General features: G+C 35.3%; 1 long non-coding RNA gene across 1 annotated transcript in view; it reads left to right on the forward strand.

Annotated features, from left to right (window-relative positions):
• LINC02046 (long intergenic non-protein coding RNA 2046) overlaps nucleotides 1–17,868 on the forward strand; it is a 119,066-nt gene that overhangs the window by 74,581 nt on the left and 26,617 nt on the right. The window contains exon 4 of the long non-coding RNA NR_146712.1: nucleotides 6,727–6,830. This is a non-coding gene — a long non-coding RNA (long intergenic non-protein coding RNA 2046). The remainder of the gene's footprint in view (nucleotides 1–6,726; nucleotides 6,831–17,868) is intronic.

A 17,868-nucleotide genomic window follows, 5' to 3' on the forward strand; every position in this document is an offset into this window, starting at 1 on the left:
TTCTACTGTATAATGCTGTCTCTAGGAGGTTATAATTCAAGGTGCCTCTTCTTTTTTGCATTAAAAAGATCAAAATGATTAGGCTGATCTCTTAGCTTTCTTTTATTCCTACTCAGGAGAAGGATGGACTAATGAGCTAGAGTGACCAGTTAATGAAACCACTGGTGATTTAATGAAGACACCACTGAGACATTTTACAGAATGACCAAATTCACTATATTTCATTACATTTAAAAAACTCTATAAATATGCATGTGTACATAATTTTACATAATTATATAAATGGAATCCCCCTTCTCATCAGCCACTACCAGACACTCATCTTCACCTAGAAACCTCCTCCACGTTCACTCTACAACACTTGGACATTTGTTGTTGGTTTTTGAGCTACAACATTTTTTTTTATATTCCTCTGTGTTTTCCTTCTCACCTTCCCCTCAGGGAACAATGTCTATGTAAATAATCTACTACATATCCGTTTATAGTTTTTCATATTCGTATCATTATATGAAACATATATCTATGAATATTCATATCCAACATTAGTTATAATATCTGTAAGAAATTATGTTCTTTTATAAATATTGGATCATATCATGCCTACTTTTCTTCATTCTACATTTTTTAATCAATAATACCTAGGACATGACTGGGCATGGTGGTTGATGCCTGTAATCTCAGCACTTTGGGAAGATGAGGTGAGAGGATGGCTTGAGGCCAGAAGTTTGAGACCAGCCTGAGCAACATAGCACGACTGTTTCTGTGAAAAATAAAAATTAGACAGGCATGGTGGCACGCGCATGTAGTCCTAGCTATTAAGGAGGCTAAAGTGGGGGTATCACTTGAGTCCAGAAGACCGAGGCTGCAGTGAGCCATGATCACACCACTGTACTCCAACCTGGGTGACAGAGGGATCCTGTCTCCAAACAAAACAAAATAATTATAAAAAATTGATAATAATATTTAGGGCAAACCCCTCTAAGTCAACTAGTATACTCTCTGAGTCATTATTTTTAGTGTTTTTATTATACTTACCAATGCAGCAATAAATATTCATGTATGTATATTTTTATTTGCTGATGTTTTTATTTCTATGAAAGAGATTCCCAGGAGTTCTAACCTGGAATATAGTATATGTAGTCTTGATTTTAACCAGCGTTATCAAATATTTTACAAGAAGGCTGTAATTATTCACATTACCAGATAACATTTATGAAGAATATCCTTTTCTCTCAATATTCCTGGCAGCACTAGTTAAGTTTTGATGGGAATAAAATGATATAACACTGTTACTTTAATTTAAATATCCCTTGCTACTATAATATTTGGACATTTTTGACAAGGTTTATTCACATAGATTTAGTTTTTGTTTATTTTCTATGAAATTGTTTATTTTCTTATTATATAAGTTTTTAAATATGGTTCGTAACCCTTTGTTCAAAAAAGATACGTGGAGCTGTTTTTTTGTTGTTGTTTTATTACAAAAGCCTGTAATTTATTTACTATTTGGGGTGTCTGGCTGAAGTTTTAAATTCAATTTAGTCAAATAAGTCTATCTTTCCTTTTAAAAATGTTTGTATCTTCTGCCTTGGTTAAAAGTTTCTCCTGATCCTATATTGTCAATATTATCACTTACATGTCTTCTAAGATAATTGTTGCCTTATTTTTCTCTACTTTGATACTTAATTTAATCAAGCATTTAAGAATTACATAGAAATTTTCTAGATAACAAGTTGCTGCTATCATTTATTAAATTCATCATCCTTTCCTGCTTAATTGAAATGTTCACCTTTGTTGTACATTAAATTCATAAACATTCTGGTGATGAGAATGCAGGAAAACACTACCCCAAAATATGATACCTCAGAAATTGAGAAAACAGCAGAAGTAGGAAGGCCGCTCTCATCTTCCCCTCGCCTTTCACACTGAAGCAAGCCAGAAAACCTAGGAAGGTCACTTTCTGATCTTTTCCCTCCCTTCTCTCCAAAGACTTTCTTATGACAAGTGTCCTTTCTGATACCTGGAGAAGAGAAATGTCATACAGAGATGTCAAGAATCTGGACAAACTTTTGTTACTCCCAGTGTATTACCATTAGATCACACTCCCTTTTGTTCACACTTCTACACAACTGCCTGCTCTTCATCAAACTGAGCATAAAAATATGCCTTTTCTCTGTTTCTTTGGGTCTTCATTTCTGATGTCTCCTATGTCGCATAAAACTTACATTAAATAAATTTGTATACTTTTCATATCTATCCTTTATAATAGGGGTCTCAACCATGAACCTAGCAATGGGTGAGGAAAGAAATCTTTTCTCTCCTACACTGGCATCCCTTCCTGGAAACTTTACATCTTATAATTTAGAATTCCATATTATCCAAGAAGCACAAGTGGCACTAATTTTTTAATAAAAACTTTATTGCTTATCAAATGTAAATTGAGTATAAGATGGAATAAGAACTTTGAAAATACAAGAGTGTGGTAATTCCTATCCCAAAGGGACTTATCAGTTATTAGAGGGTAATAGGATGATACAGGATGTACACAAAAAGTGTTAATTAGCAATGCCACACAACAATACCATGTGAGATCTGTGAGGTCTATTATGACAAGACAAAACTATGGGAGAAGCAGTTGATGATATGTGGTTTCATATCAGAAGGAATAAAAACAGTGGAGCCTGCAATGTGCAGAAAAAACTTTGGTGGAAGGGGGCAGACATAGCCCTTAAAATGAAATTAGATCATTAACACCAGAATTTAGAAGCTCTGAATATTTCAGCATCCAGATTTTCCAAATTTTGTTTATATAGAAAAAAGAAAATATTTTGTTGATGACACCACACACAATAACTGATATCAACTACCAATGAAAAATGCACAATTTAAAAATAATATGCAACAATGATTGCTTAATTTTTCACATTTTGATCTTAAATATATTTTTCATACTTTTTTGAATTATGATATTGCCTTAAAATTCTATTTTATAACATTTAAAAACAATCAACTAAGGTAAGTGTAGGCATCTCTTTGAATAGTGAGATCCAGCTAGTTTCTATCCATTAATTCATGTAAAATTCCTGTAATATATGAAAATAGGAGGAGACAGGACCCAAGTTTTGTATTTGCGTTTGTTTCTCTTTGCTTGTGATGTGTGAAGACTGCTGCCAATTGGTAGTAGGGGTACTCCATCATTACACCATTAATAGATCTCTCCAGAACAAGGTTTCATTACTGTGGATATTGGATAAGGCTCTGCCAGAAGGCTTTCAATACCCTAAGGATAAGATGTGCTAAGTCCCCAAATTAGGTGCAGCCGTCTTTGGGCAAGTATTTGAGGTTTGCAGGGATGTTTATGCTGGGGTTTGAGGAACCTTGATCAAGATATTTCCCTAGGGTGACAAATCCATAATTGCACTTATCAGCTTTAGGCTGCCTTGATTAATGCAACCTTCTGTGATTTATCACCCAGAATATTTTTAAACAGGTGCTCTCTCTTCATTGTAATAGACTGGAGTTTTTCAGAAGTGACAACACAGGCTTGTTTTATTTATTTGTTTTGTGAAATTCAATGAGAATGCATTACAAGCAAAAATACCCAGTCATTTTGTAGAGACCTGAGGTTAGTGTAGTTAGTTTTGTAGAGGCCTGGGGTTAGAGGGTTAGTTGATGTCAGCCTGTCATGATTTCTACCTGACTTTCTTGACCCTTTAAAAAGAAATTGCTGCTTTTTAAAATGTTACTCCCTACCTCCGGACACCTAACACACAGTATACTGTCTTGGATCCCAAATCTTCCTATCCTTGGAGAATCTCGAAACTAGCTGCCTAGTATATAAGAATCAAATATAGCATACCAAAAAGCCTTGACAGAAAAATCACACACACACACACACACACACACACACACACACGCATGCAACATTGGCCATACTTGATGAGAACTTTTAAACTATGGCAAAATATGTTAGAAATCTAAAGTTAACTGTTCTGCAAGTGGTATACAGCCATGCACACCAATTTTACAATTTTAGCATTTAGAGTAGTCTGGACCCAGCTGGAGTAACAAATTCTTTTCACTACTTTATAGTTGTGCCAAACATATTTCTATAGGGCAGCAGTACATCACAGTGGATCAGAAAGTAGTCCCTGAGTGTCAACATCCTGGAATGTAAACCTGGCCTCACCATTTATTAGCTGTATGATCTTGGAAAAATTAATTAACCTCTCTGTGCCCAAATCGTCTCATTTGTGAAGTGGAGTTGATAACTACCTACTTCACAGGACTATTCTGAGGATTAAATCAAATAAAATATGTGGAAAGCTTTGCTATTTTAATTTAAAAAAAAAACACTATTTAACCTATCAAGGGACTACAGATTGTCTTAAGAGCACCTTCTATTTTCCTAAAATCAATTAAAGATCAGCTTACTTTGGTTCTTATCTATTTATTAAAACACATGAGATGGACAATACTTACCAGTACTTTGATGAACCCACAAACTGGGAGTAAATAAAATTTTTATTTTCAAACATCTGGTCTGTTTAACCCAGGCTGCTGTCTCATTAGGTTTCTCACTATGAAAGAGTAAGTTTAGAATGGGCTGGAAATTCACTATTTGAAAAATCTATATACCTCAACTTATGTTTCCTTCCAGGAAACAGAAAAAAAAAAGAGAGAGAGACAGAGAGTAAAGATAATGGGTGAGTAACACATGAAGCAAAATCTAAGACTTTCAGAAAGCCCTGTGAGCTAAGCAAAGATGAAATTATTTTCTGGTTGTGAGGAAAGAATGTGAGTGCTTAAAGGCTCAAGTTGCCCACAAATTCCTGGGATAGTGTGCAATCTACTTTGCTTAATTCTGTAGAACTGTTATTCCCAAACCCAGCAGCATGTCAGAATCTTTCTGAAGAGGGTCTTTAAAAAGTACAGCTTCTTGAACTCTGTCCAGGCCAACAGAATCAGTATCTCCAAGGATATAGCCCTGAAATACATGTTTTTAAAAAGTTTTTATAGTAGTTCTTATACACAACTATATTTGATAATCAAGAACCAGAGATTTTTTTTATTATACTTTAAGTTCTAGGGTACATGTGCATAACGTGCAGGTTTGTTACATATGTATACATGTGCCATGTTGGTGTGCTGCACCCATTAACTCGTCATTTGCATTAGGTATATCTCCTAATGCTATCCCTCCCCATTCCCCCCACCCCATGACAGGCCTCAGTGTGTGATGTTCCCCATCCTATGTCCAAGTGTTCTCATTGTTCAATTCTCACCTATGAGTGAGAACATGCGGTGTTTGGTTTTCTGTCCTTGCGATAGTTTGCTCAGAATGATGTTTCCAGCTTCATCCATGTCCCTACAAAGGACATGAACTCATCCTTTTTTATGGATGCATAGTATTCCATGGTGTATATATGCCACATTTTCTTAATCCAGTCTATCATTGATGGACATTTGGGTTGGTTCCAAGCCTTTGCTATTGTGAATAGCAAATAAACATATGTGTGCATGTGTCTTTATAGCAGCATGATTTATAATCCTTTGGGTATATACCCAGTAATGGGATGACTGGGCCAAATGGTATTTCTATTTCTAGATCCTTGAGGAATCACCACACTGTCTTCCACAATGGTTGAACTAGTTTACAGTCCCACCAACAGTGTAAAAGTAAGAACCAGAGATTTTTTAAATAAACTTTTGTTTTTACATTGGAATAAGTTTGGATGACACTACCGAGTTCTCGTATACCTTGACTCATTTGCCCCTAATGTTAATATTTCATATAATAATCATGGCACATATGTCAAAACCAGAAAATTAACACTGGCAAATTACTAATGTCTTTTTCATATTCCTGAATCCAATACAGGATGCTGTAACAACACTTTTAATCATCATGCCTCCTTAGTCTCCTCTGACCTGTGGCAGTTTCTCAGGTTTTCAAAACTTTGAGAACTTTGAAGCATGTCTTCAATGTAGAATTTCCTCTTTTTCAGACTGAGGTTGTGGGTTTTGGAAGTGAGTACCATAGAGGCAAAGTGCCCTTCTCTTGCATACTATTAGAGAGTACATGATACCAACATAACATCACTGGTGGTATTAGCCTCCATCATTTGATTAAGGCAGTATCTACCAGATCACTCCACTGTTAAGTTACTATTTTTCCATTCTCATACTCTGTTCATTAGAAATAAGTCTTTAAATCTAGTCAAGGGTTGGCTGTATGCGTGTTGAAGGGGTGGTATGGAGAGATGAATCAAGCTCCACTTCCTGGAGGAAGGAGTATGAGTGAAGGTTTATGATCAAAGTAGTACTTTCAGAAAACTGAGTTAACTAGGTACACTGGGGGAAGGAGACTATTGGCTGGGAAATCAGTTGCCAAATTCAAACCAGAGGAAATGACCTGAACAAAAGCAAAGGCATTGGTGAAAAGGAACATATATCTAAAAAATATTGTGGAAGTGAAAGAAACCATGGTTACTGATTAGACATGTGGGAGAGAGAGAAAAATATATATTTTCCAGATATATTGAGGTTTTGATCCTGAGTAACTTAGAAGAGGGTAATGCAATAAAGAACAGAGAAAGAGGATACCTTTGGTTGGGACATACAGAATTCAAAGGCTTGTGTGCATCAAGGTAGACATGTTGAACAAGCAGTTAGAAATTGAATCGCAAAACAATTTACCTCCTTGTGAATTATGCTATCTTCCAGGACCCATTATACAGGCTGCCTTTCCAGCTCTCCAATCATACTTCCAAGAAAACTGCTCACTCTCAGAACCAAGGTTCAAGTTGTACATTGGGATTTGGGTAGAGGTAAGAGGAAACACCCTCAAATAGATTTGGATCATTCCAGATGTCCTATAAATGAAGTTTGACATTTGCTCAAGTATCACCACCTCACTGTAAAAGCAACGAATCTACCTTCATTGTGAAAATTTGGGGACTAGAATTAATGAGTACAGTAACCTTATGGATAGAACCTTCAGAGTTTTTCATTATCTATGTGAAGAGATAATTCTAAATTATTTGAGATCTAGTATCTGTCAGCTTGGGGACTGGTGTCTAGTCCCAAGACTAGACAAAGGAAACCCTTATTAGTATTTTTATTTTCCATTTCAAATAAAAAGGGTATGTGTTAAAAAAAACTGAGCTGGTTCAAGCTGTAAAGCATTTCTTAATTATAGTTTGGTAATGCCTGAAAGCCAGAGGACTCCCAGACAAAAAAGAAAAAAGTATGTTGATTAAATATTTTCCCCTTTTGAGGGTAGATAGAAAGAATAAAAGGAATTTCAAAGTCTCAGGTTGTTAGGAACCTGCAAAGGTGATTTCTTTTTTTCTATTCCTTCACCTTGGCAAGGTGATAAGGCAGATGAGGAGAAGTAGGAGGCACAGGGCCATGAAAATGGACCCAAAGTGATGGGGCTCTGTTCTCTTGTAAATGGCCATCCTTCCAGGACAGCCTTTCTCACAGGCTGCTTCAGCATCTACTGACTGATCTCTGAAATTCGTTTCTCTCATTTCACCTTCATACCTCAGAGTTTGTAATCCATTCCTTTTGTGCTGTTAATGATAAACCACCTGTAAAGACCAGTTTAATTTCTAAAGAGATGAAAATATTAATTACACAGACTTTAAGAATTTTTTTTAAATTTTTTCCCTCTCATTTTTTTTTTGTTGTTTAAAACAAACAAACCTTTTTCACTTCTTCCTCTCTTTTCCTCATTTATCATCTTATTTCTTATTTACAGTTTTACTTGTTTGTGTTAGTGGCAGGATGATATTAATTTCAAAACCCTTGGAGACATACTTTGTTGAATCTGAAAGTTAAAGGTGGCTTTGTGCTTAGCTTTTTCCTAGCAAGATCTAATATTAAAATGTAACTTGCTATTACAAAACTTTTCATGTAAATTATGTGCTTTAAAAAGAAATGAGAAAGACTTCCTGAGAAAATGGTCTTTATCATGCTGTATCCTATGAGCATCCTGTGGCCACTGAAGACTCACATTCTCTTACTCTTACCAACCTATCACTGTTTCCCATTCATTATTATGCTCTCACCTTCACTCTGCTTGATATTGCTTTCTTGTCCAATCACCAACAAACACTTATCTTTGCCTAGAAACCTCTTCCACATTTGGTTTTCAACACTTAGAACTTTACATTTTATGTTTTTCTCCTACCTCTCATTTTTATTTTTACTTACATTTCGCCTTTTCCCTCCCCCTTTCTGGGATGATTATTAAAGCATGACTCTGCCCTTACTCAGCTGTTGAGCATAACCTACCACCCACTTTTCCTAAAACATTTAGTAGTGATTTAAAAAGAATAAAACAATAGGAAAAGAGATTGTCTGAGGATACACAGTTCTTTCAGTCTAGACCTGTGATTATCAACCATTTTGCAGTCATGGGCTGCTTTGAGAATCTGCTTAAAACTAGGAACATTTCTCCAGAAAGATTCACACAATTGCATAACACATACTGCTGTAGTCTGTTTTGTGTTGCTGTAAAAGAATACCAAAGACTGCATAATTTATAAACAATAGAGTTTATTTTGTTCACAGCTCTAGAGGCTGGAAAGTCCAAGAGCAGGGTGCTGGCATCTCTTGAGAGCCTTCATGCTGTGTCATCGCATGACTTAAGTCAGAAGGGCAAGAGAGGCAAGAGCAAGAGATAGAGAAGGCCAAATTCACTTTTATAACAACCCATTCTCACAATAACAAACCTACTCCTGTGATAATGACATTAATCCATTCATAAGGGCAGAGTCCTTCTGGCCTAACCACCTCTTAACAGTCCCATCTCTCAATATCGCAATGGCAATTACATTTCAACATTAGTTTTGGAAGGGACTTTCAAGTCATAGCACATATCAGTCTAGGTACACGGATTCCCTGAAACAAGGTGAGTCACTGCTTTTCCAAGTAAGCTAAATTATATCTTATATGAAAATGGTCAATTAGAAATCATTGTCCCTGAACAGCATTATTTGGGTGATTCCAGAACTGTTTCTAAGGAACTGTTCCCTAATGTTAAGTCCGCAAAGCATAATGGGATACACTTCAAGAAGCACATCCAAGAAATTCATTATTTTATTAAAGGAAGAGATATTATTCAGCAGTTTGTTCTCTGATTCACATCACACTCAGCTTCAGAAATCCCTCTGTTTTACTACCAGGAAGCCTGTGCCAGGCACACTCCCACTTCCAGATTCTCCTACCTGACCTTGTCTTCTTTAGAGATGTTTAGGGTTGACACTCACCTCCTCCAGGTGTTTCCTCAACTACAACCCCATAGTTTCTAATATTCCAGTAAAGGTGCTCATCCAAAGGCTCCCTCTCATGTGACTCTGTGATGTGTGTTTCTAAAACATCTCTACCAAAGTGCCCATACTTGTAGAGACAGTGAGTGTATGGTGCAGGGGAGGAAAAATTTCTCCTCTACCTTGTTAGGGTTTCTGGCTGGGCCTAAAAATTAAACTGATATCAACAAATGAAGAGGAGAAAGCATACACATTTTATTCAGTAAAATTTTACATGTACATGTGCGTTCTAAGGATATATTAAAGACTGAAAGAAACAGAGCCAAACACTTACATACAGGGTTGAACAAAGAGTAGTAAATTACAAAATGTAACAAGAGAAAGGAGTTTGGGCTAAGACAGTTAATAGTGAAAAAGTAACTAGTAACTAGAAAGATAAAGGTTAATTTAACAAGGTTTGTTTGTATACATTTTTCTTGGTCTCCACTCCCCATCTCTGGAGATGAACATGTCTTAGTTTCTCCAAGTGCAGGGAAGACATCTTTCACATGGAAGTTTTATTTCCTTCTTTCGGGAAGAAAAGAAGGAAGATCAGAGTGCCCTTTTGCATCTACTGTTTTTCAAATTCTTTTAATTCAAAATAATCAATATGCCAGAGTGGCACGTTTTGGAGTGGCATGTTCTGAGTTCTTTCAATGTCAACAGGGCTTTTAAAACTTCTGTTTTCGTGTAAAAATACACATGAAGTTGGTTTTCTACTCCATTTGATATAAAGATATTATTTTTAAATTACTTGCCATTGAGGGAAACAGATTGTCCATGAACATACACTACGTAGATCTAGGACTTGCAATATTGGCTGAGCACTAGAGAAGAAGCCTAGGGTATATGAATTCCGTGGAGATTGAGAAGCTCAGCAATAGAATATTCATTGCTTAGTCTAACTCTTGTTTTGTAAAGTATCTCTACTATTTGAACATTTTTTTGAAAAAGTTTTTTTGCCTGAAAAAATGCTTCTAGGTCCAGCACCAATTTTGCCTCTTCCATGATCATGACCTATTTTCTAATTCCCATAACAGGAATTAATTGCAACTTCTCCCAAAAAAAGAAGTCAATTATATTCACAGAGATCATAAAATGTAAAAGAACTGACTGAGAAATGCAAAGTAAATGGACAGATATTTTTAGAATCCCTATAACGTGCCAGTATGTTCATAAATTATTTTATTTAATGTTGCATTAATTCCATGAGATTTCTACTGTTATTCTCAAATGAAGACACATAAGCCAGATGTTGAATAACCTGCCCTAACACACTGCCAGAAAGTGGCAAAGATAGTTAGAAATTTTTGTTTGTATAGTTTTAAAATCCGTAATTTTTATTGCATCTAGTTTAGTTTTCTGGCCTCTATAGCAATTGCCTCTCAAAAATGGAGACAAACAAATGAACCTACTTAATTCTCAAAATAGAAATGCTAATGAGTACTGATAATGACTTTGTATTTTAGTATGTTTTTTCAATGAAGAAATTACTTTGTAAGACAGTATTTATTATTTACAACAAGTTTTCTTGACACTGTTTTTCATCCATCAAGAAGCGGCATATCACTGAATAAAACGGTAGAATAGAGGATGCTTTTGGTTTACAACTTTTATATACAGACCCCTGGGAAGTTACAGAGGTATTGCCAGAGTACCTAAATCTATATGTGCATTTTGAATTGTTTGCAAGTTGAATAATGTGTCTCATGGAAACATTAATTTGCATCTAGTCTTTAGAATGTATATAGAGAATATTCCCAGTTAAGAAATATTTTACCGAATTCAGAGTCATTTTTTACACTTTATTTTTTAACTAAATGAATACTTATATACCTGAAAGCACAGAGATAATCAATGATTTTATTTTATTTTAGAAAGTGGTTTTAGTGCTGATAAAGATTGAGAACTCCTAGAATTTCTTTTTAAAAAAAAAATTGCTCCATGTGGTTTTCAGAAGTAAACTAAATTTACTTTTGCACTGCACTGCACTTTATGTCTCTGTGGAAACATTTTGAAGTACATGGTGGATTTAATCCCATTAATCTTTGGAAATATGATGAGTGGTTCCGTTTCTGATTTTTCATAATCAGCTGGCCTAGCTATAAGATATTATTGCCTTATAGGGACATCTGCTGGTAGATAAATAAAGATCGGGAACAATAAAATACTGTCTTCTCAGTATTTCCCAGGGCATCCCTCTGAGACTGCAGGCTTGTGTGCATCTGCTTCAGATAGTGCATGGCTATTCAAGTTCTGAATATTGTATCATTTCACAGTCCAATCCTGCTGAGGTAACATAAAACTTGCCTTCATTACATATATGCTTTGTTACCACAACAGATTCACACAGGTATTAACTTAAAAAAAAAAAAAAAACTGACCACATATTATCCTGGAAACCTCAGGCTTTCTGGAAGCTTATGTAGTCTGGGGCAGATGGCATGAGAATTGCCGCACTTGGAGTACACAGACTCCCCACAATAAGTCGTCACGTGCTCTGTTACCTGCCTTGGCTTTTTCAGATACGCATTATCATCTGATACATGCAAAAAAAAAAAAAAAGCCGCTCTTTCTGTTCCCAAATTCCAAAAACAAAAGTAAAATAAATTTAATCATGTTACCAACTTCTTAACCTTAAGGCCTTTTTTTCACAAGGAAAAATATCCTAATAACTTTATCATTAAGTTGAAATGCTCCTCTTTCACTCAGCTACACAAGATTTTTCAGTAAGAATTAGCTGCACTAATTAATTACTACCTATTACTTCAAAAATAATTACTTGGTGAAAGTAAAGCAACTGGTAGTACTATTTCTACTAACCTTAACCATCACCAGCAGGATGAAATAATTGATTTTCTTTTGGTGTTTTATTGAACAAAGATTACCTTCATACTCTGTCTTTGGAAAAGCAGCACTGTATTAAATCACATATTGTAGACTTAAAATTAAATTGCCCATAAACGTCAATATTGCCAACAGTACAGAGTGGTAACTTATTCATGCCACTTCTTTAAACTCACCACACATTAATGTGCTAATGTGATGGAAAATAAAGAATCATCATGTGCCTTCCAAATGCTGCTTTCCCTATTGTTTATATATGTATTTTGTAAGTGACTAGAAGACTGTTTCATCAGCTAAGGGATGCCTTGCCAAAAGAAATGACATAATCGTTAACTAATTACAACTAAATGATAGCATCACACATTTTGACAGGTTAACACACATTCTATTACAAGTTGGAAACTTGAGAAAGAGAATAATAAAGCTACTACTCTTGCAAAATCCTCAAATGCCAATAGGGAAAATAAACTCTTTAAGGATTTTCACCAACCATGTGTTTTTCTTTTTCTTCTTGCCCTCATTGTACAAAAGCAAACAATGTGAAGTTGAGTTAACATTCTAAACTAATTCAGTAATCAATTAACTTATTTTTACCAATTTTATCCAATTATAAATCAGAGTCTACCCACATTCACAGTTTAAACATGCTGAAATCATCATTTTGGGCCCTTTTCCCCTTTATCAGTGAAGCAGCAAGATACATGTGGGCTGAGATATAAAAAGAACAAGGAAAACCAGGAGAGGAAAATTGGTATTTTCAGATGTAATCTAGTTCATTAAAAATCCAAAAGCAAAACACAAAGACGTGCCTGAAATGGCATATTACCAGAATTGTCTCTGAAGAGCTTCTCAGTTTAACTGAAAAAAAAAAATTTTAGAAGGATTAATAAAAAATTAAATCATCTATTTTATAATTTCTTACAAAATGACTCCAATACTATAAGTAGAGTGTCTCATTGTTCTCAATCACCCCATACATATTATACCAAAATTCTTCAGAAAAGAAAAAAAAAATAGAGAGTGCTTTCTAAGCCCTGTCCTTTAGAAAGTAAATAAGATGACAATTAAAGAATTGTTCTCCACCCTTGTAGGTACTGAAGTATATATAAGTAAGTACTACAGACTGTTAAACCCCATACAATGTGACCGGAGAATCACTACATGTCAAGTGGCATGCATTTAAGTATAGAATATCTAGTTGTTGGGTTTTTTCTTTTAGTTTACTTATTATAGCTTGTAAAAAATTTTCCCTTAATTCTACTGTTATAAAATTTCACTAGCAAAGACGTAAAGTTGGCCAGTTTGCTACTGCTAGGGTAATGAGTAAAGAGAGTTGGCATATCAAACTAAACACTGGGCAAACACAAAACATTGGAAATCAATTACAATATAATATAAGAAGTAAGTCATTTAAGATATTTTGTCCTTAAGACTTGATATGGAATGATAAAAATTTTAAATGACTATATATTTTCCTTGTGGGAGAAAACTGAATGATTACTTAGCATACAACAAAAGAGAATCTAAAAGGAAGGAATGTTAACATAAGAAGATGAAATGAGATCCATATGTTAAAGGGTGATATTAGTATTTCAAACCCCCAAAAAATTGTAGAAAAAATTAAATTACTTACCTTTCTAGTTCAGTACAAATGTCCTACAGCTAATTATCATGAAATATTGCCTGGAAATTAACCAGTCATGTTGTGTTTCTATCTCCAGATTTACAATTAGTAATGCTATTAATGTGGTTCCTGTACTTAGCGTTACTAATTATATTGCTATGAACTAATGGTGTTAAAAATAGCAATAGCCATCAACTACCAATTAATGCTTAATGAGAGCATATAAACCCTGGCATTGTAATGAATTTCAAAATTATGGTTGCTTGTATTCCTTTTGCAATCATGCAAAAATGGGTGTAACCAGTAACCACTGAAGTAGGGCATTGACTGAAAGCATAGTTACCACATCATTGCAGGAAAATCAAGAGAAGAAATAAATGGCTCCTTCAAGGAATATATATGTGTCCTTTTAATCTTACAATTCAACACACAGATTTTTGGAAAGATTCTTTTCTAGTTACGCATATAAAAACACAGCTGAAGCATGATTTGTAAAGATGTTGTTTCAAACCTATGAATAAAATAGGACTTTTTTTTAAAACTTTGGAAGATTAGTTTCTATAAAAGAACCAGTCAACAAATCATTTATCCTAGAATTTACATAGGGTATAATATCTCAGAAGTTCAGACATAAGATAGGGATATTAGCTAGGTTAAGCTGGGTTATGCTACAGTAACAAATACCCACCAATGGCTTAACATTCAAAAATTTATTTCTTGTTTATGGTGTATGTCCAGCATTGTCACTTAGGGACTAATGCTCACTAGTTACTCAGGAACCCAGGCTGAAAGAGATTCCATCTTGTCATGTGTTTTCATTACCTGCAGAGGGAACTGGGAAAATTGTCTTCTGTCTATTATTTCTATCCAAAAGTGACTTATATTACTTTAGATGACATTTCATTGGGAAAAAAAAACAAGTCATATGCTTGTGTCTAAGTTCAAACTGATGGAGAATGACAGCAAGAAAGAGAAAAACTAGAAAACCAAGAAACAACTATATATGTTTTAGTACTTTGGCACTGTTTTAATGACCAAAGCAAGAAGACTTTCTCTAAAATGGAAAACTTCACTGGGGAACTGTCTGGTGGTAAGGGAATATTGAATAAACACCAATACATCTCTCTGAGTCTCTGGAAATATGTTATTTGACCTTGTCACTAAAAAAGCCATTTCCTACAATGGGCTATGTGTATTTTCCTAGTAGTACACAGAACTGCGGTATTTATCTTTTCAACTTCAAAAATGTACTTTAATATTTTATCTTGACAGCAGCCTTTTCATCCCTTGGTCTCAGTCAAAACTATAGTGAATTTCAGAAATAGTAAAGAGTAGAAGTCACCATAGAATGAGGTAAGCAAAGGAGGAGCTTAGCCAATAAAGTAGCTAATGATGTGAGCATATTATGTGTATGTGTTGGTGTATTGTCAAACCAGTACAAAAATATAATTAAGAAATCCACACTAATTATGCCAATTAGACACTAAAGAAGTGTTATAAATAAGACTATACCACCCCAAAATATAACAGCGACGTAGTTCACGAGATGGCACCCCAGAATATACCCAAAATATAAGTTTTGGTATATTGACTATTTTGAGGTTGAGGCATTTTGAAAAACAGCAAATGAAAGGAGAATCTTTCTTTGAACTCCCTTTGCCTACCTAAAGACAAATCTTCCAAAATAAACTCCATTGTTATAAACCATCTCCCCATGAGTTTCATCAACTAGGAAGATGGACTCTTATTACAGGAGCAGAAACTAGAAGTTGACAACACCCTGACAAACTTTGTCTGAATCTATCATTATCTCCCATCTATTCTTCCTAAGGACCCATTCATCTTTCCTAAAAATCATTTATTCTCCTCTAAGTAACCAACATCTCTCTTCCCTTTCCCTATTAAAATGGTTTGTAAACTCTCACATCTCATGGTTTTGTGCGGTATTAGTTTTTTCTTATAATTCCCTTGTGGACATATTAAAAATTAATAAAGTTGTATGCTTTTTCTCTTGTTAATCTTCCTGTTCTCAGTTTTTCTTTGTTTTGTTTTGTTTTGTTTGTACACCCAGCTACCAACCCTAGGATGATAAAGTCTTTATTTCCCTGCAGAAGATTTAAAAAAGACACTAAAGAAGACTCTTAAGACTTAACCACAATTCTTACAAATCTACACTTTACTGAAGGAGAAGGATAAAATATAGCATGAGCATTTTAGTAAGAATATGCATCCCAGCCAAAGGCTGTCTTACAGCAAGGGGTCCAGAGTGGTCTGATGCAGGCTCCAATTGTCCTCCTTTTTGCGAGGCCATACTGGATGCACTTTCTCACTTGCATCAGTGACATCCAACATGTGCATGGAACGCCTAGAAAACAGGGGCTCAAAATAAAGTCTTGGTTGGGTCTTCTCATATTCTACTGATCCAAAGGGTCATCACTGTTATGTGACTTGCCATAATGGTGGAGTCCACTGGCATCACACCTGAACAGGGTATAAACTGTCAATCTTGCTGTTACTAATAGCCTATACTGACAAGCTGGAACAAACTGTCCTGAAAGTTGTCTGATAAGTATGGTTATAAAATTATACTATTAATTATGTTTTTTTCATCCCAAGGCCAAGGCTCAGCATCATTAAGTTATATCTCTTACAAAGCAGCTTAGGACAATCCCAAAATAGAAGTAGCACTCATAGCACAGCATCCAAATAGGTTTCACAAACTGCTAAGCATATGAACTTAGAAGGACACTTATAGTATTAATAGAGCAATTCAAAATACTGGGGTTTAAGGATGAGCATACTTCTTGGCAAGGGACATATCTACATTGTCTGAAGTTATTTCCAAACTGCATCCCACCCCCCCGCCCCACTTCAGTGTCCTCCAAAACTTAAAGACTGTCGTTGTGCTGAGGCACCGAAACTGAGGCTGGTATGTTTTAGGAGTACTTGCTATTCTAGTTACTATTCTGTGTGTAACATATTGCCTCACAACTTAGAAACTTAAAACAACTATTTTATTAGACTTGCTGAATTTATGCTTCAAGAATCTGGAAAGAGTTCATCATGATGGAGTATCTACTCTGCTATGTCTGGGGCCTCAGCTGGAAGGACTTGAAGGCTAGGGGCTGGAATCTTCTCAAAGACTCCATCAGTCACATGTCTGATGGTTGATGCTAGTTGCCAGCAAAGACTTCAGCTGTGCTCAGCCAGAACACCTACACACAACATCAACATCCACCAGCACCTCTCTCTGGGGTCACGTCACAGCAGGTAGCCAAATATTTCTTACATGGTGCCTCAGGGCTCCAAAATTGAGTGCACAAAGAGAGAGGAAGTAGAAATGTCAGTTTTTGTTTTTGTTTTTTTCCAAAGTTCTGGAAACTAGTCCAGCATAACTTCCACTAGTCCAGCTTCCTCATTCCACACAGGTGGCTTCATGAACAGCTGACTGTGCTTGTGGGAAACTTTGAGGCCTATAAGGCAGCTCCTCCCTCTGGGAGCATGCTGAGCTATCAACTGCTCTACTTATCTCTGCAAAGATATCTGCATCTTATATAATTTAAAAAATTGTATGTCTTTCGAAAGCATCTGTTGGTGCCTTTCTGTCAATCACAATACTGCCTTATTGTGACTATCATGCATTTATAAAGTGAACTTCTAAGAAAATATAAACAACATGGCTTTTAAAAATTTCCAACTTTTATTTTAAGTTCAGGGGTACATGTGCAGGATGTGCAGGTTTGTTACATAGTTAAACATGTAAACCTGGCTTCTTTTCTAAAGCTGACCTAATTTTTTTAAAATTGTTTGCTTTCTAACTGACAAAATTCTTGTTTTCACATGCATAATCCAGTAAAATTATATTTACAACGAGGATAATATTCAAAACATTTAACAGCTAGTGTGTGTTTGGCATGGACTCATCAGAACAGATGCCATCCGTAAACAACTAGTACTGGTAGATAGCAATAAAACACCAGTCTTGTTTACAACTCTCTGTGAGTAACTAGTACAAAATTAAAAATAGAAAAGGGATCAATAAGTCACTGGCATATCTAAACTTCTCTGAGAGATTTTTAA

This window comes from Homo sapiens, chromosome 3, assembly GCF_000001405.40.
Source record: "Homo sapiens chromosome 3, GRCh38.p14 Primary Assembly".
Classification (NCBI taxonomy): domain Eukaryota; kingdom Metazoa; phylum Chordata; class Mammalia; order Primates; family Hominidae; genus Homo; species Homo sapiens.